This window comes from Homo sapiens, chromosome 13 (assembly GCF_000001405.40).
Source record: "Homo sapiens chromosome 13, GRCh38.p14 Primary Assembly".
In the NCBI taxonomy this organism is placed as follows: domain Eukaryota; kingdom Metazoa; phylum Chordata; class Mammalia; order Primates; family Hominidae; genus Homo; species Homo sapiens.
The window spans coordinates 55,268,800-55,295,029 of NC_000013.11; positions in this window are offsets into that span (position 1 = coordinate 55,268,800).

The window sequence follows — 26,230 nt, forward strand, 5'->3', positions numbered from 1 at the left end:
TTTGCTTAATTATGTTGTATAAGTACAGATTACTATCACCTAAAAGCATGCTTAATAACATTTCAAAATATTTTAAAAAGTTATTATTTAACTTGTAACTTTTTTTTTCTGTAAGTATATTAGGTCTTCAAATATATTCTAAGACATATTGTTGTTATTTCTGTACATATGTAGTAAAAAATAAAGACAAGATGTTTTATGTGGGCTTTACAAGATGTTTTGCGTGGGCTTTTTTTGCTCAGCTTTATTATTAACTACTGATGTGACTTTGGATAATTTACAGTAAAAATAGATTATAAATATTATTTGCATCTCATTGAATTAATTCTAGTAAAGTTAGACAATTAGTATAGACATACTATGAAACTCATACAAACTACAAGAATCACAGAATTTTATGTTTCTCACAAAAAATAGCAGTCTCATTTATTTAATAGGTAATGATGCAAAAATTATTGAATAATAGGTGAGAAAGTGAGAGGTAAATGTAACAGCAAAAAAATACATAACACAGCAAGAATTATGTAGGCTAATTAAGTTAACTAGGATTGATCAACATTAATCCACAGTCCACATCCTGGATGTAACATTTGAAATACCAAAATGTTACTACATCACTTCTCTAAGCAACTAGCTATCTAACAATTGGATCACTGTGAGTAAACTCAAATGAAATGCTCAAGTCAGAAAGATACTAAATGACTGAGGCACAATTCTACTTAATAGAATATCAACAGGTTCAAGTTAAATATCATCTGATTCTTTGGCAAGTGTAATTTGGGGTGGGTGGGTGGAAGGGAAATCAGATAATCTAAATGAAACTGTTTTATTGTATGAATTTCTCCTCTCAGCTGTCAAACTTCAATCATGAGAATCAGAAAATATGATTAAATATAGACTTCATTGGGGTGCAGAGCTTGAGGATAGCACCTGGAGGACACAGACTCCAAATGAATAAGTGAAGTTAAAGTTTCACCTTTATAGGCAGAGACAGAAAACTTTTAGCAGGATCACATTTTTTGTAAGAGACTAGCACATATGTCATAGTAATTTGGTTGGCTACAGGTTGCTACATTCCAAGAAAGATTACGTTATTACTATATGAGGAGGGGCAGTGATCTGGGGCGGGAGGTCTTATCTCTGATGCTGCTTGGTTTTAGCTATTTAAAGGGAAAAAAAGGTAGAAGTTGCAGCTGCATGCCACATGACTCAAGCCACATAGCAACACTCCTTTCAAGGCTCAGAATAATTTAACATTCCAACAGCTTTAAATTTGAATTATTTTATTTCCTATGGCAAATGGAGAAATTTCAAACTAGATAATTGATACTGAACATTTAATATGTGCAAAGTTTCTCTTCTGGATAATGTTATTTAAAGTTACTTTTTAAAGACTCTTATTAATGAATTACCAAAAAGTATTAGCCAATATTTAAGTAATAGTGTAGCTAAGTAGACTGCATTTTTTGTTTGATGTTTTGCATCATTCACATTGACTGTCAAATCTAGTGACAGCACATTTCAGTTTAATACCAAGTTCTTGATGACTTCCTCAGCAGTATGTGCATTGCTATCCATCCTTCTAGGAAGGGTTACACTATTGATGCCCAATCAATCACAATGTATGATAAAGTATACCAACTTAATTCACAAAAGATGGCATTTCTTGAACTTATCCCTCATTCTGAAGTTCCTTGGGATAGCGAGTGAATAGTCCCCTGAAGTTGAGAAAACCACATGACCTTACAGTGTGAAATCTACCCTATTCAGGGTGGCTATTCATCTCATGGATATTAGACTTTCTAAATAGATTAGCTCTTTCTGAATAGAATAGTTTCATTAAGAATTATAATTGCATGTTTTGTCCTGCTACTACTAAGTGTGTAAACTCAGTGATGCAAAATTATTAAAAATCCACATCTTATTTTATCACCAGCTTTCATCCTAAGTTTCCAACAAATCTTGATAATGGATAAACATATTCAGTCATTTACTGAGTACATAACAGGATTTCAGCTAGATGAGACCTGGCAGGTTACTTTCCACACTTAAAATCATATGACTTTACTCATACCATTTATCGCAGCTTAGATAAGTTGGAATTCCTAAAGGTAAAGGGTGGGAAATTAAAAATAAAGAAATTTCATTGACATTGTAAGATAAGGGTACTTATGGCGACGGAATTGGACCCATACAGCAAAAGTAATGTAAGTTTTCTTTTTTGAATCTTTAAGTCAGAGATATGACAACAACCCATTTAGATGTTCAGTGATGGATTTTTAGCTAGAAATCCCAACACTTTGGTGCTGTGAATTACATTTGTGTGAAATTTACTTTTGCCTATTTTTTTTTCTTCTTGCCAACATTGGTTTAAAGCATAAGCAATATCTTTAGTGTTTTAGATAAGAGGTAGGCAGATAGTTACATTTATATTCAGTTCTGTATAATGGTAAAAAATTTATTTAACTGCTTAGGATTTTTTGATAGTGTCAAAATTCGTAGTTTGAATAGGTATATCTTTTTTACCATATGCAAAGCAGAGATTTCAGTGGATAGAAAGGGAAACCTTCCATGAAATAGAGAAGACAGGTTAGGCAAAGAATAAAGAACAGATGCTTAGGAATAAATAAACAATTTTGTTGGTGAGTGTTGTTACCAAATTATAATCAATTCAAGTCACTAAATTGGACTATTTTATGGTGCTATTGAAAATTATACTTACTTGGATAGTAAAAGAAAAGACTAGATAAGGATTAAATGTTTTACTATGTTCCCTGATTCTTCCAGAATTTGTGTCAAGTGCAAGCTTATGAAACAAAGTGCCAACTTACAGGACTTTTACTCTCTGCAGTGATTTGTCTATGTTATGACTTTCTAAATGTTTCAAGATTTTACCATACGATCTCAGTTCTCAAAAACAAAATTATGTATGCTATCTTAATGAATAATCACCAAATGAAGGTTAGTATACTACATACAAAAATACATATAAAAATAATAATAAAAAATTCTGGAACTTAAAAAAGATTAGGCAGTCTGTTCATATACATGTTACAATGCTGTTTTAAATGAATTTTTTTTGAATCATACACATTGGCTATCTCATACATTCCCATTCCATCTTATCTTCACATCACATTCTCCCCTGACTGCTTGGACCATTGCATTTATCGCTAACCCACTCTGATTTATTCCTTGTCCATATCTTTGGCTTTCATGCTTTTGTTATTTCCATGCTAGCTATGCTATTGAAGAGGGCATTTCTGATCTCCAGGAGCAATGCTTAAAACCCCCCGCTTCTAAACCTTGAGCTGTTTCATCTGGACCTATTTACTTTAGGGGCTATTACCTGGACCAAAGTTTTGAGTGAGGATAGTTATATTGTAACTATTTAATGCTCTGTGTGTATAGAGATTTTTTGATAAAATTATAATATTTGTCATCATTTACCCACTAATACCGTCTATTAGCATTATTTTCATATATACCTTTGCTATGATTTAATGTCCTCTCCAAAACTCATGTGGAAATTTAATCTCCATTGTAATGCCACTAAGAGATGGGGCCTTTGTAAAGTAATTAGGATTAAATTAGGACATCAGGGTGGGACCCCCATGATAGTACTGGAGGCTACATAAGCAGAGGAAGGCCATATGGTAGTTTTTTTTTTTTTTCCGTACTAGTTCTGAACATGAGCTCTCTTTCTTTTTTTCCTGCTTCTTTTTTTTAAAATTTTTTTAAAAAATTATACTTTAAGTTCTAGGGTACCTATGCACAACATGCAGGTTTGTTACATACATATACATGTGCCATGTTGGTGTGCTGCACCCATTAACTCGTCATTTAAATTAGGTATATCTCTGAATGCTATCCCTCCCTCCTCCTCCCACCCCACAACAGGCCCCATTGTGGGATGTTCCCCACCCTGTGTCCAAGTGTTCTGATTGTTGAATTCCCACCTATGAGTGAGAGCATGCAGTGTTTGATTTTCTGTCCTTGTGATAGTTTGCTCAGAATGATGGTTTCCAGCTTCATCCATGTCCCTACAAAGGACAAGAACTCATCCTTTTTATGGCTGCATAGTATTCCATGGTGTATATGTGCCACATTTTCTTAATCCAGTCTATCATTGATGGACATTTGGGTTGGTTCCAAGTCTTTGCTATTGTGAATAGTGCCACAATAAACATATGTGTGCATGTGTCTTTGTAGCAGCATGATTTATAATCCTTTGGGTACATACCCAGTAATGGGATGGCTGGGTCAAATGGTATTTCTAGCTCTAGATCCTTAAGGAATCACCACACTGTCTCCCACAATGGTTGAACTAGTTTACAGTCCCACCAACAGTGTAAAAGTGTTCCTATTTCTCTACATCCTCTCCAGCACCTGTTTTTTCCTGACCTTTTAATGATCACCATTCTAACTGATGTGAGATGGTGTCTCATTGTGGTTTTGATTTGCATTTCTCTGATGGCCAGTGATGATGAGCATTTTTTCATGTGTCTGCTGGCTGCATAAATGTCTTCTTTTGAGAAGTGTCTGTTCATATCCTTCACCCACTTTTTGATGGGGTTGTTTGATTTTTTCTTGTAAATATGTTTAAGTTCTTTGTAGATTCTGGATATTAGCCCTTTGTCAGATGGGTAGATTGTAAAAATTTTATCCCATTCTGTATGTTGCCTGTTCACTCTGATGGTAGATTCTTTTGCTGTGAGGAAGCTCTTTAGTTTAATTAGATCCAATTTGTCAATTTTGGCTTTTGTTGCCATTGCCTTTGGTGTTTTAGACATGAAGTCCTTGCCCATGCCTATGTCCTGAATAGTATTGCCTAGATTTTCTTCTAGGATTTTTATGGTTTTAGGTCTAACACTTAAGTCTTTAATCCATCTTGAATTAATTTTTGTATATGGTATAAGGAAGGGATCCAGTTTCAGCTTTCTACATATGGCTAGCCAGTTTTCCCAGCACCATTTATTAAATAGGGAATCCTTTCCCCATTTCTTGTTTTTGTCAAATTTGTCAAAGATCAGATGGTTGCAGATGTGTGGTATTATTTCTGAGGGTTCTGTTCTGTTCCATTGGTCTATGTATCTGTTTTGGTACCAGTACCATGCTGTTTTGGTTACTGTAGCCTTGTAGTATAGTTTGAAGTCAGGTAGCATGATGCCTCCAGCTTTGTTCTTTTGGCTTAGGATTGTCTTGGCAATGCAGGCTCTTTTTTGGTTCCATATGAACTTCAAAGTGGGCTCTTTTTTGGTTCCATATGAACTTCAAAGTAGTTTTTCCAATTCTGTGAAGAAAGTCATTGGTAGCTTGATGGGGATGGCATTGAATCTATAAATTACCTTGGGCAGTATGGCCATTTTCACCATATTGATTCTTCCTACCCATGAGCATGGAATGTTCTTCCATTTGTTTGTGTCCTCTTTTATTTCATTGAGCAGTGGTTTGTAGTTCTCTTTGAAGAGGTCCTTCACATACCTTGTAAGTTGGATTCCTAGGTATTTTATTCTCTTTGAAGGAATTGTGAATGGGAGTTCACTCATGATTTGGCTCTCTGTTTGTCTGTTATTGGTGTATAGGAATAATTGTGATTTTTGCACATTGATTTTATATCCTGAGACTTTGCTGAAGTTGCTTTATCAGCTTAAGGAGATTTTGGGCTGAGATGATGGGGTTTTCTTAATATACAATCATGTCATCTGCAAACAGAGGCAATTTGACTTCCTCTTTTCCTAATTGAATGCCCGTTATTTCTTTCTCCTGCCTGATTAACCTGGTCAGAGAACTTCTAACACTTTGGTGAATAGGAGTGGTGAGAGAGGGCATCCCTGTTTTGTGTTAGTTTTCAAAGGGAATGCTTCCAGTTTTTGTCCATTCAGTATGATATTGGCTGTGGGTTTGTCATAAACAGCTCTTATTATTTTGACATATGTCCCATCAATACCTAGTTTATTGAGAGTTTTTAGCATGAAGGGCTATTGAATTTTGTCGAAGGCCTTTCCTACATCTATTGATATAATGTGGTTTTTGTCTTTGGTTCTGTTTATATGATGGATTACGTTTATTGATTTGCATATGTTGAACCAGCCTTGCATCCCAGGGCTGAAGCCAATTTGATCGTGGTGGATAAGGTTTTTGATGTGCTGCTGGATTTGGTTTGCCAGTATTTTATTGAGGATTTTTGCATTGATGTTCATCAGGGATATTGGTCTAAAATTCTCTTTTTTTGTTGTGTCTCTTCCAGCTTTGGTATCAGGATGATGCTGGCCTCATAAAATGAGTTAGGGAGGATTCCCTCTTTTTCTATCAATTGGAATACTTTCAGAAGGAATGGTACCAGCTCCTCTTTGTACCCCTGGTAGAATTCGGCTGTGAATCCATCTGGTCCTGGACTTTTTTGGTTGGTAGGCTATTAATTACTGCCTCAATTTCAGAGCCTGTTATTGGTCTACTCTGGGATTCAGCTTCTTCCTGGTTTAGTCTCGGGAGGGTGTGTGTGTCCAGGAATTTATCCATGTCTTCTAGATTTTCTAGTTTATTTGCATAGAGGTGTTTATAGTATTCTCTGATGGTAGTTTGTATTTCTGTGGGATCAGTGGTGATAGCCCTTTCTCATTTTTTATTGTGTCTCTTTGATTCTTCTCTCTTTTCTTCTTTATTACTCTTGCTAGTGGTCCATCAATTTTGTTGATTTTTTCCAAAAACCAGCTCCTGGATTCATTGATTTTTTTGAAGGGTTATTTGTGTCTCTATTTCCTTCAGTTATGCTCTGATCTTAGTTATTTCTTGCCTTCTGCTAGCTTTTGAATGTGTTTGCTCTTCCATCTCTAGTTCTTTTAATTGTGATGTTAGGGTGTCAATTTTAGATCTTTCCTGCTTTCTCTTGTGGGCATCTGGTGCTATAAAATTGTCTCTACACACTGCTTTAAATGTGTCCCAGAGATTCTGGTATGTTGTGTCTTTGTTCTCATTGGTTTCAAAGAACATCTTTATTTCTGCCTTCATTTTGTTACGTACCCAGTAGTCATTCAGGAGCAGGTTGTTCAGTTTCCACGTAGTTGAGTGGTTTTGAATGAGTTTCTTAATCCTGAGTTCTAATTTGGTTGCACTGTGGTCGGAGAGACAGTTTGTTATAATTTCTGTTCTTTTACATTTGCTGAGGAGTGTTTTACTTCCAACTATGTGTTCAATTTTGGAATAAGTGCAATGTGGTGCTGAGAAGAATGTATATTCTGTTGATTTAGGGTGGAGAGTTCTGTAGATGTCTATTAGTTCTGCTTGGTGCAGAGCTGAGTTTAAGTCCTAGATATCCTTGTTAACTTTCTGTCTCCTAGATCTGTCTAATGTTGATAGTGGGGTGTTAAAATCTCCCATTATTATTGTGTGAGAGTCTAAGTCTCTTTGTAGATCTCTAAAGACTTGCTTTATGAATCTGGGTGCTCCTATATTGGATGCATATATATTTAGGATAGTTAGCTCTTCTTGTTGAATTGATCCCTTTACCATTATGTAATGGCCTTCTTTGTCTCTTTTGATCTTTGTTGGTTTAAAGTCTGCTTTATCAGAGACTAGGATTGCAACCCCTGCTTTTTTTTGTTTTCCATTTGCTTGGTAGATCTTCCTCCATCCCTTTATTTTGAGCCTATGTGTGTCTCTGCTCATGAGATAGGTCTCCTGAATACAGAACACTGATGGGTCTTGACTCTTTATCCAATTTGCCAGTCTGTGTCTTTTAATTGGAGCATTTAGCCCATTTGCATTTAAGGTTAATATTGTTATGTGTGAATTTGATCCTGTCATTATGATGTTAGCTCGTTATTTTGCTTGTTAGTTGATACAGTTTCTTCCTAGCATTGATGATCTTTACAATTTGGCATGATTTTACAGTGGCTGGTACTTGTTGTTCCTTTCCATGTTTAGTGCTTCCTTCAGGAGCTCTTGTAAGGCAGTCCTGGTGGTAACAAAATCTGTCAGCATTTGCTTGTCCCTAAAGGATTTTATTTCTCCTTCAATTATGATGCTTAGTTTGGCTGGATAGGAAATTCTGGGTTGAAAATTCTTTTCTTTAAGAATGTTGAATATTGGCCCCCATTTTCTTCTGGCTTGTAGAGTTTCTGCTGAGAGATCAGCTGTTAGTCTGATGGGCTTCCCTTTGTGGGTATCTTGACCTTTCTCTCTGGCTGCACTTAACATTTTTTTTCTTCATTTCAACTTTGGTGAATCTGACAATTATGTGTCTTGGAGTTGCTCTTCTTGAGGAGTATCTTTGTGGTGTTCTCTGTATTTCCTGAATTTGAATGTTGGCCTGCCTTGCTAGGTTGGGGAAGTTCTCCTGGATAATACCCTGAAGAGTGTTTTCCAACTTGGTTCCATTCTCTCCATCACTTTCAGGTACACCGATCAGATGTAGATTTGCTCTTTGGTCTTTTCACATAGTCCCATATTTCTTGGGGGCTTTGTTCATTTCTTTTTACTCTTTTTTCTCTAAACTTCTCACTTCATTTCATTCATTTGATCTTCAATCACTGATAGCCTTCCTTCCACTTGATCGAATCAGCTACTGAAGCTTGTGCATGCATCACGTAGTTCTCATGCCGTGGTTTTAAGCTCCATCAGGTCATTTAAGGTCTTCTCTATGCTGTTTATTCTGGTTAGCCATTCATCTAATTTTTTTCAAGGTTTTTTAGCTTCTTTGCAATGGGTTTTAGCATCCTCCTTTAGCTCGGAGTAGTTTGTTATTACTGATTATCTGAAGCCTACTTCCATCAACTCGTCAAAGTCATTCTCTGTCCAGTTTCACTCCATTGCTGGCGAGGAGCTGCGTTCCCTTAGAGTAAAAGAGGTCCTCTGATTTTCAGAATTTTCTGCTTTTCTGCTCTGATTTCTCCCCATCTTTGTGGTTTTATCTACCTTTGGTCTCTGATGATGGTGACATACAGATGGGGTTTTGGTGTGGACGTCCTTTCTGTTTGTTAGTTTTCCTTCTAATAGTCAGGACCCTCAGCTGCAAGTCTGTTGGAGTTTGCTGGGGGTCCACTCCAGACTCTGTTTGCTTGGGTATCACCAGCAGAGGCTGCAGAACAGCAAATATTGAAGAACAGCAAATGTTGCTGCCTGATCCTTCCTCTGGAAGCTTTGTCTCAGAGGGGCACCCGGCTGTATGAGGTATCAGTCGGCCCCTACTGGGAGGTGTCTCCCAGTTAGGCTACGCTGGGGTCAAGGACCCACTTAAGAATGCAGTCTGTCCATTCTCAGATCTCAAACTCCATGCTGGGAGAACCACTACTCACTACTCTCTTCAAAGCTGTCAGACAGAGACGTTTAAGTCTGCAGAGGTTTCTGCTGCTTTTTGTTCAGCTATGCCCTGCCTCTGAGGTGGAGTCTACAGAGACAGGCAGGCCTCCTTGAGCTGCAGTGGGCTCCACCCAGTTCGAGCTTCCAGGCTGCTTTGTTTATCTACTCAAGCCTCAGCAATGGCAGACACCTCTCCCCCAGCCTTGCTGCCGCCTTGCAGTTCGATCTCAGACTGCTGTGCTAGCAATGAGTGAGGCTCCACGGGCGTAGGACCCTCTGAGCCAGGCGTGGGATATAATCTCCTGCTGTGCCATTTGCTAAGACCATTGGAAAAGCACAGTATTAGGGTGGGAGTGTCCCTATTTTCCAGGTACCATCTGTCATGGCTTCCCTTGGCTGGGAAAGGGAATTCCCCAACCCCTTGCACTTCCTGGGTGAGGCAATGCCCTGCCCTGCTTCGGCTCACACTCCATGGGCTGCACCCACTATCCAATTAGCCCCAGTGAGATGAACTCGGTACCTCAGCTGGAAATGCAGAAATCACTCGTCTTCTGTGTTGCTCACACTGGGAGCTGAAGACTGGAGCTGTTCCTATTCGGCCATCTTGGAACCTAATCAGTTTCTATTTTGTTTTGTTTTGTTTTAGTAGAGACGGGGTTTCATCATGTTGGTCAGGCTGGTCTCAAACTCCTGACCTTGTGATCCACCCACCTCGGCCTCCCAAAGTGCGCCATATGGTAGTTTTATTTGCAGTTTTTTTAGGCATCTCAATATTGTTCTTTATGGTGGATGAACTAGCTTAAATTCTTACAGTGTATAAGAGTTCTATTTTCTCCACATTATTGCCAACATTCATTATTTTTTGTCTTTTTGATAAGTCATCCTAACTGGGGGAGATGATATCTCATTATAGTTTTGATTTGCACTTTTCTGATGATTAGTGATGTAGAACATTTTTTCATATATTTTTTGTCCATTTTTATGTCTTCTTTTGAGAAATATCTATTCCAATTATTTCCTCACTTTTTAATTGGATCATTTAGTTTGAACCACCATATGATTCACCAATCTCACTACTGGGAATTTATCGAAAGGAAAGAAAATCATTATATTGAAGAGACATCTGCACCCCCATGTTTATTGAAGCACTATTCATAATAGACAAGATATAGAATGAAACTAGGTATCCTAACAACAAAGGAATAGATAAAGAGAATGTGGTATATAGACGCAATGGGATACTATTTAGTCATAAAAAAGAATGAAATCATGTCATTGGTGGCAACATAGATGGAACTGGAGGATGTTATGTTAAATGAAATAAGCCAGGAACAGAATGTTAAACAATCATATGTGGAAGCTAAAAAAAGCTAGTATCTTAGAAGTAAAAAGTAGAGGCTGGGCGTGGTAGCTCATGCCTGTAATCTGAGCACTTTGGGAGGCGAAGGTGGGTGGATCACCTGAGGTTGAGTTTGAGACCAGCCTGGGCAACATGGCGAAACCCCATCTCTACTAAAAATACAAAAATTAGCTGGGCGCAGTGGTGGGTGCCTGTAATCCCAGATACTTGGGAGGCTGAGGCAGGAAGAATCACTTGAACCTGGGAGGTGGAGGTTGCAGTAAGCCGAGATTGTGCCATTGCACTCCAGCCTGGGCAACACAGCAAGACTCTGTCTCAAGAAAAAAAAAAAGTGAAAAGTAGAACAGAGAATAATAGAGGCTGGAAAGGATAGGAGGAAGAGAGGGATAGGGAAAGATTGGTAAAGGATACAAATTTATTGTGATCTGATCTCTTTACATTATATTTAACAATCTATTACTATACACCCATGAATAAATACATACACTTATTATTAGACCTTTAAAAAATTAAAAAAATAAGAGGAAGAGAGACCTGAGTTGACATTCTTTTGCCCTCTCACCATGTGAAGTTCTTCTCTATGTTATGATCAGTAAGAAGGCCCTCAGCAGATATGGCCCCTCAATAGACTTAGACAACCCTATTTTGTTCATAGTGACAGTGAGCCCAGGTAAAGATTCCATGTGTAAGGCTTCTGTATAGTTAAGGGTGGCTTATTTCTGTTCTGAACAGTTACATATACAGAAATGTACTGGATAAAGATTTAAGGAAAGTTATTGTTTTCCTAACTAAAAGTCAAAGTTCTTAAGAGATGTTCATTTTGGGGGCTTAATTCTCTTTTTTGTCTGCTGGGGACATGCATGTGATGTCTGTGGTACAAAAGCCATACTATGATTATAAAGGTAAAAGCCACAGGGTGACAATGACAAAGTGACAAGAAAGAAGAAAACTGCAACTCTTTGTTATAATTGAACTATTGTATTAGTCTTGCACTGCCTACTCTGGGGTTCATATTTTGTCAGAAAAAATATATCCTAACCTGACTAAGCAACTCTAGTGATGGTTCTATAATATGTATTCCAACTTACACAGCTATAAAGTCTAATTCCATCTTAAGGTTTGTATAAATCACTAACTCATATCTAAAGAGGTGGCTAGCCTCTTCTCAAACATGTATCTTGGACAATAATCATTAGTAAAAATTAAACTGAGCCCCCACTTTGCTGAGTAGTGTGGTGAGACTAGTGGATGGAAGAGGAAGGAAGTTATGAATTAAATATTTGTGATGGACCCTGATTTCAGGATCCTAGAGCATTTTTAGCAAGACCTATTAAAGCAAGAGAGTATTGCATTTATTTATTTTTCCCTGAGAGATATCAAACGAGGCACATCAAAACTCTCTTGAAAAAGTGAAGTTGCAACAGAATTACATTTATTTTCTCTCAGTTTCTTCTGAACTTAAAGGATAATTGCTAATATATAAGCCCTCTTCGTCTAATGTAGAATGGCTTTCCTTATGTGGAAACTTTCATTCATGCCACAAATACCCATTGAATATACAATAACTGAGCTGTATGCAGGGATTATAAGGGAGGTCAAGAATGATTATTTTTTATTCAGAAAGCTTACGGAGTAATTGAAATCATAGAGAAAAATGTTTTTATTATATCCTGCATCAACCTCTCATTATAAAGCAAGAAAACTCTCATCCCCTTTGTGATGATTCTCAGCATTATAAGGAGAGGTATGTTTTAATGTTTGTGTTTCTATATGTAGAATAATTTATTTTTTCTCAGTAAAATTAGCTTCAGATAATGAGTGCTGAAATTTTCCTGGGTCTACATACAACTGTTTGGTTATGTAAAATAAGCTAATTACTAAAGTGCAATCTCAGCATTCACATGAAAAATCATTGCTATAATAAAATGTAAATAGAAACATTTTGAATATTTTCAAAGAAAAAAATATACCTGAGGAGCTTAATTATATACAGGGATAAGTTCTTTCAAGTTTACAACCCACTTGAAATAAGCAAATAATGAGGAATGTGGTATCCATTCTCTCAAAACAACTCATGCACCTTATAAATATATATACCTACTGTGTACTCACAAAAATTAAAAGTAAAAAATAAAAATAAAAGTTTAAAGCCCTCTTGAAAAATTGCTTAAAGTATAATAAAATGTGTATAGTAATAATTATTTTTCTCCAGACATGTTTCTTATTTTCTGGTAATGCAGTTAATAGCCTCCATGCATTCAATCCAAGAACCAGAGATACAGTTTCACCCAAAGCACATGAACTTAAAATAGGAAGAGGGTGGCCCCCAGAAAAAAATGTTTGGGGAAATTTCACCCATTGTTAGGTATTAGAAATGCCAAATATGACCTTACAAATAGCAGCATGCTAACACATGCACGTGCATGCACACGTGCACACACACACACACACCTGAAAATAAAGAAAAAAAAGTTATTTTTACATCTGTGTTTATTAGCCATTATTTGTAATTCTAAAAATCCTGTAGGATTTTAAAAGAAAACAAAATGCAAGATTTTCCCAAAAATAATATATATATATTTTCATTGTCTTCGTAAAATCTTCCAATCACCAATGTTTTTATAGTTCCACATTTTTATTCCTTTAAGATAGAATTCTGGACTGGCCATATTCAAGAAGAAATTAAATGTTAGAATCTTGTCAATAATGGTTGGAAACATTGATAGAAATCCCAATTAGAACTGAGCATTTATTTCTTTTTTCTGGCATTTCTAGTATTACCAGATTTCTCAAATGACTGGCTTTTAAATAAATAACTAAAAATAGCTATCCATTCAAGGTAAGTTTGGCCTCAAATCCACAAATTCAGATTCTGGGCTAGATATACTGTAATGCTTTATTTTATAGGAAAGAGATCCATCTTTACAAATAATAGATACCTGTACTCTACATCGTAACTACATTGAAAACGTACTAACATAAAAGAATCTCACTGGTTTAAAAGTCAGTTTACGTTGATTTTTCAGATGTGCTGTATTCAGTGAAACTGCCTATGGAAACCACTTTAAACTTTCCACATTCCAGCCTTAGAAAACATTATACAGGAATAATAAACTTCAAAAAATTCTTCATATTTCCGTGATATGTACTGTAGCATATCACATTACTTCCTAACCCTGTGTTTCACCTTTCCTTCCAATCTTTATCATTATTGTATTTTTAAAAACATCAATGTGTATGCCTTTTTCTGTTCCTGTACTGATCAGCTTGGACAAGCTGCATACTTTATTCAGCACAGACTGCTTTCCTCAAGTAGCTTTTGTAGTGAATGTATGTTATTTGACTCTAAGTTTGAAAGAAATAGAGACAATCAGGTTTTCTCAGGTGATAGGCATGTTATTGTAAAGATACTCAGGAAAGCAAGAAAGCACAGGAAATTGGCTCAGTCAGTTGCAAAGTCAGAATAGCGGAAAATCATTTTTGCTCAGGCTACAGTCAAAATTCTAAATACCCCAACAAAAATTCTAGCTATTGGCTGTGTTTTGATTCACCTTACCTCTTCTCCAACCCTCTGCTTATTTCTTCAGTTGACTCAGACTTAGCCCTGTTTTATTGTTTTTTGCTGATATGTGTTTCTATGGTCTGTATCTTGGTTTATGCTCTTCTGATCTGTCTTTGTTGGTTATGTGTTTCACATTGACTCTCCAAATGTTAAAACTGGTTTAATATATATGTATATATATATTAAATATCTTTATAATATCTTTATAATATTTTTATTGATTCAAGGAACGGTACACAACTATCTCATAAACCTCTACTCCAGCCTTTGGAGTTCACTTTCAGAGCAGATAACTGTCTTTTCTCAAATATGAGAAAAATTATTATTACTTGAGCAAAGCTATGATGATATATATATAAGAAGTCTCATCCAGCAGATTCATTTACAAAGGGTGGTGTAGTTAATAGCCTCTCTGAAACTTCCTGATAGCTATTATAAAGGAAATTTCTCTTAAATTTTTAAATGTTTGTAATTTTAATGGATGTTGTTGTAGGATGGACAATCCAAGACCCTATTGCTGAGATTCCAGATGCTGCTGCAGATATATTGGCATATTCTGAAGATCTATTAATAACAACATTGCTGATTTGTATGTCATTTGAAACTCTTAGTGTGCTTTGTGTAGGGGATAATTTAATGAGGTTAATCTTTATGATGTCTTCAATGAATGCATATAATTTAACTGTCAAATAAATATTGACTTAAAATAAATGACATACATATATTTTTAATTGTTATATCTTGTTGCTGAATTGACTCCTTTATCGTTATATAATAACCTTCTTTATCTCTTTTAACAGCTTTTGTCTTGACATCCATTTTATCTGATATAACCATAGCTATTCCTGCTCTTTTTTGATTTCCATTTGCATGGAATAAGTTTTTGCATCCCTCTATTTTCAGATGATGTATGTCTTTATAGGCAAAGTGAGTTTCTTATAGGCAGCACATAGTTGGGTCTTTTTTTAATTAATTAAACTCTTTATGTCTTTTTAGGAGAATTTGGCCCATTTACATTCAATGTTATTATTGATAGGTAAGGACTTACTACTGCGATTTTGTTATTTGTTTTCTGAATGTTTAATTGATCCTGTCTTTCTTTCTTCCTTCCTATCTCTCTTTGTTTAAAAGTGACTTTCTCTGGTAGAATATTTTACTTTGTTGCTTTTTAGTTTTTGTGTATATTTTGTTGGGTTTTTAATTTGTAAAAGCTTGCAAATAACATCTTATAACCAATTATTTTAAACTGAATAGAAATTTTTGAAGGAACATAAACAAATGACCAATTAGTATATGAAAAAATGCTCAATGACACTAATCATCGGAGAAATGCAAATCAATGCTACAACAAGAGGTCATCTCACCCCAGCTAAAAGCTAAAATGACTTTTATCAACAGGCAATAACAAATACTGCTGAGGATGTGGGCAAAGGGGAACACTTGAACACTTTTGGTGGGAATGTAAATTAGTGCAACCACTACAGAGACCTGTATGAACGTTCCTCAAAAAACTAAAAAACTAAAATTGCTATATGACCTAGCAATTCCACTTCTGGCTATATATCATAAAAGAAGAAAGAAAGGAAATAACAAAGAAAGAAAGAAGAAAGAAAGAAAGAGAAAAGAAAAGAAGAAGAAGAGGAAGAGGAAGAAGAAGAACAACAAGAAGAAGAAGGAGAAGAAGGAGGAGGAGAAGGAGGAGGGAAGAAAGGAGGAAGAAGAAGGAGAAGAAGGAGAGAAGGAGGTGGAGAAGGAAGAGGAGGAGAAGGAGAAGAAGGAGAAGAAAGAAGAAGCAGGAGAAGGAGAAGAATAAGAAGAAGAAGAAAGAAGAGAAGAGGAGTTGTATATTGAAGTGTACTTTCATGTTTATTGTACCACTGTAAACAATAGTCAAGATATGAAATCAACCTGAGTGTTCAACAACAGATGAATGAATAAACAAGTGTGGTAAATATACACAATAAATATTATTTGGCTATAGAAATAAAGAAATCCTTTCATTTGCAATAACATAAATAGAATTGGAGGATATTATGTTAAATGAAATAAGCCAGGCACAGAAATAAACATTTCACATATTGTCACTTATATGTGGGAGCTAAGAAATTTTAAAAATGTTGAACCTATGGCGATAGAGAGTAAAGTGATAATTACCAGAGGCGGTGAAAGGTAGAGGGGATGGGGGTTTAATATGGGGATGGTTATCAGATAGAAATAATACAGTTAGATAGAATGAATACAATCTAGTATTCAGTAGTACAATAGGGTGACTTTAGTTAACAAGAATTTATTGTATGCTTTAAATAACTAATTGAGTGGGATTGGAATATTTCTAAACACAAAGAAATGATAAATGCTTGAAGTGATGGATACCCCAAGTTCCCTGATTTGATCATTATGCATTTTATGTCTGTATCAAAATATTGCATCCTCATAAATATATACAATTATTATATATCTAAAATAATTTAAAATAAAAATTAGTAAATATTAAAAGTGCCAATTCTGAATCTCAAAGCTCTGAAAGTAAAAATGTTAAAGATGGAAATATGTAAACTTGTTCCCTGTGGAATATTGGTCTAAAGCTCTATTTTGTTAACCCAATTCTTTACTATTTTACAAAATTTTATTGAATTTCTAAAGTATGTCATATCTAGAGAGCCTCACAATTTTATTGGTATTAAATATGGTATAAAGAATCTGCTTTGCATTAGATAATTCCACAGAAATATACATTAGTAGAATTTTATTAAATCAAACTGAGCTAATTTTTAAAATAAAAAACAATGTACACCAAAATAACAAAATCTTGTATTAAATAATCTTTATTTTTTAAAGTCAAGACAAAGTCAATGTCAGATGTTCTATTTCAATCTAAACAAATGTGATGCTATTTTAAAAATGCTTTTTAAGTCATGAAATATCAAAAAAGAGTACCAGAATGCAGTCTGTAAGAGTCAAGTGTTCCCAGTAATTATAGATTTCCCCATATTGAAATTCGAACTAGATAATTTCAAGAAAAAAAAACTGGGGAAACTGTATTTCTTTTTAAGATGAATATAAGCACATACAATACAGTGTGGTAAAACAATCTAGACAGAAACTCAAATATTCATGAGGCTGTAGGTGAATATCTTAATGACACAAATCTGAATATATTTTGTAATGTCTCTTTGACTAACAAAGAAAACCTTTCTTTAAATTCCTTTGGGATAGCATTGTACCTGTTTCTCACAGGAAATTCTGATATTTGTGATTTTTCTAATAGTTTTAAAATATTAAGTACAATTTAAGTTATGAAAACCTGTTAAGCATTTTATAGAAAATATTATATATGATTATGTTCCCATTATTTTATATAAAATATCAGACAGAAATGTATGCCTTTTCATAGATAAGTTTAATACTTTATTTTAGGAATTTTAACAAGAATATTCTTTCCCTTTTCACTCTAAGTTTACTATTCTTAAGACCCCCAAAACACATTGTATATACCTCCTAATGAATAAATTTAGAAAAAGAATGAGCAATAAACAAACTAGTAATCTAGAAAGTAAAGTTTTCTTGATATATATATCTATATATAGACATATGGATTGATTTTAGAGACAGGCTCTTGTTCTGTCAATTAGGCTGGAGTACAGTGGCATGATCATAGCTTGCTGCTATCTCAAACTCCTGTGTTCAAGTTACCCTCCAATCACAGACTCCTGAGTAGCTACAGGTGCAGCCACTCCTGGCTAAGTTTTATTTGTTTGTTTTTGGTAGAGACAGGGTCTTGCTATGTTTTCCAGGCAGTTCTTGAACTCCCGGCTTCAAGAGATCCTCCCACCTCAGCCTCCCAGTGTTGGGATTATAGGTATGAGGCACTATGCTCGGCTGACAAATATGCTGTACTAATGCTCATGAGCCACTTAAGATCCATGAATAAATTTAATTTATGTTTATAGCCCTAGAAATCAGCCCAAGCTTAGCAAAGTGTAGACAATTAATGCATATTTGAATGTTGAAAAAATAGGTAGCTGAATTTGATCTCTATGTTGTTAGCATTTTTTTTTTTTCAAATAGAATTTGAAATAAAATGTGTTAGGAAAGGAAATTTAATCATCTCAAATATTTATTGAATTCATTTACCATTGAACTAGCATTCGATTTTTTAAATGTAAGTAGGTTCACAATGGGACTAAGCAGGACATGGTTGTTTTAACTTACTGAACTTAACTTGTTTCCAAGTATGTTTTTCAGCTTAAGTCAATAAATGCTATTAGTACTTAAAGTTCATCAAATAAGATACAACATAAACAACTATAGGTTTCCCTAAAACTATTATTTATTTTTGCTCTATTTAAAGTATTTGAAAAATTTTAAATAATAACTATTCTTCAAAAAATGAAATGGCCTTCTATAATCTATTACAAACCTAATAAAAATAAATTTTCACAAAAGCAATATAACTATGTTTATCTTTCCAGTTTTTCTTTTAAAAAATTGAAATCTATATTCATCGCATTAATATTTTGGAACATTTGCTTTCTCACTCAATACAGACACATATACACACATCTACATAAACAAGCATACATCTTATAATATCACTATTATTATTTGCTCAACAGTTTGTGAGTGAACTGCAAATATCACAACCCTGAACCTCTACAACATTGACACAATGATATCATTTAATATACAGTAAATATTCAGTGTTACCCATTGTTGAAATAATTATTTTGTGGATTTAAAAAATCTTTCCTAAGAGAATATGCAATCATCAATTTTTATTTATTAAAATTTGCCTAGAGGGTAGAGTTTGAATTCTCTGAATTTTACAAAAAGCTTTCAAACTTTAGAATATGTATATCCTGCTTAACTGTGCTCTGCATTCCACTAAACCACATGCAGTTCCCAATGGCTTAGAGTCTCACCGTGCCTAAGTATGTAGGGTTCTTGTCTTCTTTCCTTTAGCCCAGCAGTATTAAACTTGATAAGAGCTAAAATTTGGAAGACTGTATCAAATGTGGGTTGTGAACTTTTTTATCTTCTTCAGGCAATTTCTTCCCTAGTGAAGAATAAGATGTTTCATTTCAGTGCCCACATGTTTATAATCAAGCTGGTATAATGTTGTTTTGAAGTTCTTATGGTTTCTATGTTCTTTAGTAATTGAGAATAAGAATAATACAGTACACTGCAGATACTGCCTAGGATACTTATTCATAGGAGAGAAAAATGGAGGCATTGTCCAGGTCTTTTAAAATCTCTAAAGGTGAAAATCATTTCAGAAACATACAACAGGATATTTATACTTTTTATGGGATTTCCATTTTTCATGTTCTTTTTCATTTTGACTTTTACATTTCCTGCTTTTCTGATAATCGACATAAAATTTCATTTGGCTTATACAAACATAACTGCCCTTACATACAGTAAGTGCATTGACTTGAAATTATTTATGGTGAAATAACCACTATATATTGTATCTTATCACTATGCCCGATATCTAATTCACAGTATGTCTTATAAATTGATAGTATTAGGCAACTTTTATTTGGAAGTATATTTCATTTAAAATATATCATTTAAGTGGAAAATCATATTTGCTTAGATTAATAATGAGTATTTCTATTATTTAGTTGTGTTTGCTTTCATAAATCTGAAAGAAAAAAATACTTTCTTGCTATTCAGGTCTAAGACAAAAAAATGTTTTCTCTTTTAATGCTACAACACACAGGTAGAAAAATAAAAATGATATTTTAGCAGGTGCCAGCTACATCTAATATGATATTCTGTCAACACAGAAACCATGAGTTGTATGTTTTAAAGATTGCAAATTGTTTTCTTCAGTAAATACAGACTGGATTCCTGTGTGTCAAAATGATGCTCTCTAAAAAACAATGAAATTTTGCATCAAAAAAACAACATAAAATTGTCAGCCATGAGACAAATATAGCTTAGTTCAAATTCCAATAAGCAACATTGAAATGCAGGGTACAAGTCGATGCACTATAAATATGGGAATGCTATATGGCTAATAGAGGTTTCAATCAGGAAAGATCTTTTACTTGAAGGGTAGTCAGGGTTATCCCACATCATTACAGAATAATCAAAATAATATATTCAAATAATAAAATGTATAAAATAGTATTTTAGTCACACATATAAAGCTCAGGATGTCAGAGATCCTGTATAATCTAATAATATGTGATAATGATGACTATGATAAGATTTAAATTGCTCACATTGATCTGAATGATGTAAGAATCATAGAAGGCCTGGCGACCTCTTTCAAATTTCAGCAACTATTTTATTTGAAAAAATAAATGCAGAAAATGCTTTTTGAAAGTATTCCCAGTAACATTAATAGTTTAAACATATTCTGACTGTCTATCTTTGACCTTCTTAGACATATTATGTTTACTATGCATGCCCTTTAAAGATCTGTTAAAATGAATGAATTCACACATTCTTCTGAGCAATGCTATTGATTTTTCCAAAACCAAAACAAAACACACAAACAAAAAAGGATTAAGCACTCACTATTAATTAAATTTAGAGTATGTGGTTTTTATATATCTCTAACCCTTCCAAATAAAAATCCACCCAACAGAAATTCTGGGATCGTCCTCAAGTATAGTCCTCTCAGAGTGGATAACCAAATCTAATTACATTCCTGCATAGAATGCTTCAGTATTACCCATTACATTTAGCCTAGATTTTCAAGTTGCTTTCCTAGCTAAATGATATCACTTATCTCCAGTTACTCTTTAAACACTTATAGAAATGGGACTATTATGAAAGCTGTGAGATATTGCATACAAAACAAGATATGTGTATTGGCATTTTAACAAAGCAATGCAAATGTAGATATGAAGGTTTATATGAGTTTGATTTGGTTGCCTGGACTTCAACTTGATTTATTAGAAACTACTTTTCTCTTCAGGTGATAATTCTCCTCAAGAATCTTTATATCCCTATCAATACTTACCTTATCTACTTTCTCACAATCTCTAATTTTTAGATAATTAACGTAATGACCAGAAGGTTCTTGAGGATTCCTTTGTATGAGCACCAATTTTATGTTGGGTAAAGGTAAACTAAACATTCTAAAGTCTCATAGCTATGTGGTGGTAGAGCTAGGATCGAGATATCTATTTCTGGCTCTGGTTCTCTGTGTCCCATAGCTCTTGGCGGAGGGGGTGATTTACACTGTATCTGACAGCTCCTCCTCCACACTTCAATGGTTATTGTACTTTTCTTATTTAATTTTTCATTCTTCAAAATGGGCATTTTGATTGCCTTTGACTAGCCTGGCACTTCATTTTCCATTACATCTGTATTTTCAGTCATGAAATTGTATTTTTAATGTGATTAAACTTACTTGCCTAAAGTTAGGCTTTTAGAGAAGGCCATGGTTAAAATTTAGTGTAGTGGTACAGTTGAAAGAAGTGAAAACACTTTGATAATTTTCAAAATTACTACTCCGTACTACTGAATAGTAGATAGGCACCTAGCTCATTATACTGACAATAAAATATTGTTTTACTAAATGATGTTTAACTATTCATGTATTCATGGAAAAATACTGGGCACTGCTCTAAATATTGTTTGTCACATCCTTAGGTTTGACCTCACCATTTTTACAGGGAATAAAGCACCCCAATATTGTAAATAAAATACTTGAGTACTAATATATTCAAAGTAAAAGTAATGTTTAATGCTAAATTACAATAGGACAATTTATCTCTTTCCTAAACTCCAAAGTATTTTGTATCACTTTTAATATCTATATCAGTGTCTTTTGCCTTCTAAACTAAATTAGGAACATATGAATTACTTCTTATTTATCCTTTTCTCTGATAAAGTACAAGATACGATGCTAAGCATATTGTTGATTCTCAATTAAATTGGTTTAGTTGCACTCGATTAGACAACATGGTCTTTATAAAATGCTTCTGAAAAATTCTTATAGTTAGGACAGAAACAGCATGAATGTTTTGGTTCCTTTTGGCTCAGGGATTAATCTGTGTGTCAGATCTGATGAGTCAAAGTATTTTATTCCCTTGGCCACTGTGATATGTTGAGGGAAGATCAGGAGAACCAATTTAAGCTTAGAAGACACAAAGAGATCTTTTCTGGGGTTGCTTGAAAAACGATTCTGTTTTTTTTTCCCCTGCCGTTTGAAGATTGAGTAATTTTAGGGGCTGGAGATAATGAGACAATGATACTTCATGTTACCATGAGAAGTCCAAGGCTAAAGCCAGCACAAGGTAAAGAAAAGCTGATAAATCAACATATGTGAAGTTCTAATATTATCATTGAGTTCTGAAATCCAAATATGCCTAAAGAAATTAATTCCCACCCAGACACTCCTTATTTACATACACTCAGGTATTGTGGGGTTTATTTTGTTTTGTTTTTATGTTGGAGCCTTGCTGTTGTGTCATTTGTAACTGAACATATTCTAACGTTTGTAGTATTTAACTTTCAAACTCATTTCAATTCACTTCTCTTTGAGTTTCCAAACTCAATGGAATTTCAAGGAACAAGGTTTCTACAGATGCAGTGCAGCACCTGGAAAAATGCTTTGTGTACTACAGCTTCTCCATTTGGCTGAATTGAATTAGATAGATTGAAGATACAACATTTTCTCTTGTAGAATTTGGAAATGCAGAAATAAGACTAATCTGCAAAGACACACAACAATGAATACACAAATTCTCTCTGTCTCTCCCACTCTTTCTCTCTCATACACACACAGACAGACACACACACACAAACACACCCCACAAATTATGAGCACAGTGTCAGCTGAATCTTTCTCTCTCCATCTGGAATGTGTCATAACTAATATGATAGTTTTTAATCCAAATATAGCCTTTTTTTTCCATAGAGCTGGTGTATAAGTAATGATCTGGTCACTCCAGTATTAGAGACCTAAGAAGATTTTACCATAAGTAATTCGAAACTGTTATGATCCATTAATCTTATTTTTAAAATATTTATTAAAATGATACTTTGTGGTATGTAAAATAACATAACATCTGTTCGTCTAACATGCAAATATGAACCAAACAAACAAATAAAACAGACTTTAAACAATGGAATAGGAGAAAGAATCTGCAAGCATATGTAAAATTGGCTCATTTGTAGAATCATTATTTCTAGTAATGTATTACGGAGACAAAGATGCTACATTCTCATCAGTCAGTGGATACTGTCTCTTTGAATAGTAGCTGCATTTAATATGCTATATATAATTAGTGGAAATAAAATATTAAGAAGACACAAATAAATGTTTTATGAATGTACAGACAAACCCTTGAATTAAAAGGTTGAATTGAGCCACTTATTAGCACAGGGTAACAAATCAGTTGTTTTTGATATAACACTTTACTGACTTCATATGCTATTAATCAGTAATTATGAATGAACATTATACATTACAGTGTAGCAAAAAAGGGTTCAGGTAACACTACCACACTTATTAAAGGAGGTTAACCTAGAAATTAAAGTTCATGTCCATTTAAGTATAAGTTATTTTGGTACCTCATTTTCAAATTTCCAAGTAAGAAAAATTACTATTCAGCTGATAAATAATGCATAAATAATTCATCTTTGAAATCGTCCCCACCCTCTTTCTATAATATAAAATTATGATGTTTTATTTAATAACTAACCGTAACTTAATTAATGGCCCCAGGAAACAAGTCAAGTTAAATACGATAAACTAAAATCAGAAGCAGAATAACAGCTTGCCCATTGCCTTAGGCAACTGACAACTGACAAATGATGTGATGTCTGATGACATAATATCTTCTGATCCCTCCTCTTTCAAAGTTTTTGTGTTAAAAAAAATCACAGAATATTATAAATTGTTTTGTCCATGTCAAAAGTTTCAAAAAGGTTCAAAGAGCTTTCATATACTGTGATTTTTATTAGGGACAAATAATCCCTAGCAGAAAACAGAGGACCTGAAGCAACTGCTACTTTATTTTCCAAGTGCTCTTCTTGACAGAGGTATTCTCTAGGAAGTTCTGTATTTTATCAAGAAACTTCCGTTGTAAAGCTTATTTTTGACAAATTTTGGTATTTATAGACTTAACGACAGAGTGTAAGACCCATCTGTTTAATTGTCCTCTGTCTGCTGAGGTGGAAGCCTATGAGAGTATATATGATATTTAAGGTTTTTTGTTGTTGTTGTTGTTTGCATTTTGAGGCTTTAGTCCACTGCTGTCACAATCAGGGATTGGAGAGTTGAAGTTAAGAATGTAGAGTTCTTCCATGGTGTGATCTTGATCAAGTTACTTAACATCACTGCACTTCGGCTCTCTTATCTATAAACAGGCTGTATGATACAGTTTGAATATTTTTTCTCACCCAAATCTCATGTTGAAATGTAATCTCCAGTGTTGGGGGCAGGGCCTGGTGGGAGTTGTTTGCATCATGCAGGTGGATCCCTCATGAATTGCTTGGGCCATGCCCTTGGTGATAAGTGAGCTCTTGCTCTGAGTTCACAAACGATCTGGTCATTTAACAGTATGTGGCACCTCCTCCCGTCACTCTCTCTCACTTGCTTCTGCTTTTGCCATGTGACTTACCTGCTCCTGCCTCACCCTCTGCCATGACTATAAGTTTTCCAAAGCCTCCCTAGGAGTCAAGCAGAAGCCAGCACCATGCTTCCTGTAAAGCAGGCAGAATCATAAGTGAATTAAGACTCTTTTCTTTATAAATTACCCAGTCTCAGGTTTTTTTTATAGTAACGTAAGAATGGACTAATACAGGAAATTGGTACTGAGGAGCAGGGCACTGCTATAAAGATACCTGAAAATGTGGAAGTGACTTTAGAATTGGGTAATGGCCACACTGTGGGATAGTTTGGAAGGCTCCGAAGAAGTAAGAAAGATAAAGGAAAGTTTGGAACTTCTTAGAGACTGGTTAAATGGTTGTGACCAAAATACTGACAGTGGTATGGAACGTGAAGTCCAGGCTACAGAAGTCTCAGGTAGAAATGAGAAAATTATCAGGAACTGAAGCAAAGGTCATACATGTTATGACTTACAAACAGCTTGGCTTCAAACATGTCCTAGGAGACTGTGGAAGTTTGAGGTTGAGAGTAATGACCTAGTGTATCTGACAGAAGAAACTTCTAAGTAGCAAAGCATTCAAGAGTTTGCCTGGCTGCTTCTAAAAACCTACTTCAGATGTGGGAGTAAATAAATGAGTTAAAGTTGAAATTTATATTTAAACAGGAAGCAGAACATGAAAGTTTGCAAAGTTTGCAGCCTAGCCATGTGGCAAGGAAAAATATGTTTTTTTTTCTGGAGAGAAAATCAAGCAGACTTGAAGCAACAACTTGATAGAGGTGTTTGCATGAATAAAAGGGAGCCAACCCCTAATATCCCAGACAATGGAAAAAAGACCCTGAAGGCATTTCAGAGACCTTTAGGGCAGCCCCCCTCATCATGGACCCAGAGGCCTAGGAAGAAAGAATGGTTTTGTGGGCCAAGCCTAGGACCCTGCTGCCCTGCCCAGATTCAAGACACTGCTCCTAGCATCCCAGCTACTCTGGCTCCAGCTTTGGCTCAAAGGGTTCCAGGTACAACTCATGCTGCTGCTCTGGAAGGCACAAGCCATTAACCTTGGTGGCTTCCATGTGGTATTAAGCCTGAAGGTGCACAGAATGCAAGAGTGAAGAATGTTTGGCAGCCTCTGCCTAGATTTTAGTGGATGTATAAGAAAGCCTGGGTACCCAGGCAGAAGTCTGCTACAGGTGTGGAATCCTCACAGAGAACCTCTACTATGGCAGTGCCAAAGGGAAATGTGGGGTTGGAGGTCCCACACAGAGTTCCCAATGTGGCACTGGCTAGTGGAGCTGAGAGAAGAGGACAACCACCCTCCAGACCCCAGAATTGTAGTTATACTAGCAGCTTGCACCCTGCACCTGGAAAAGCTACAGGCACTCAACAACCAATGAGAGCAGCCTCAGGGGCTGAACCCTGCAAAACCACAGAGGC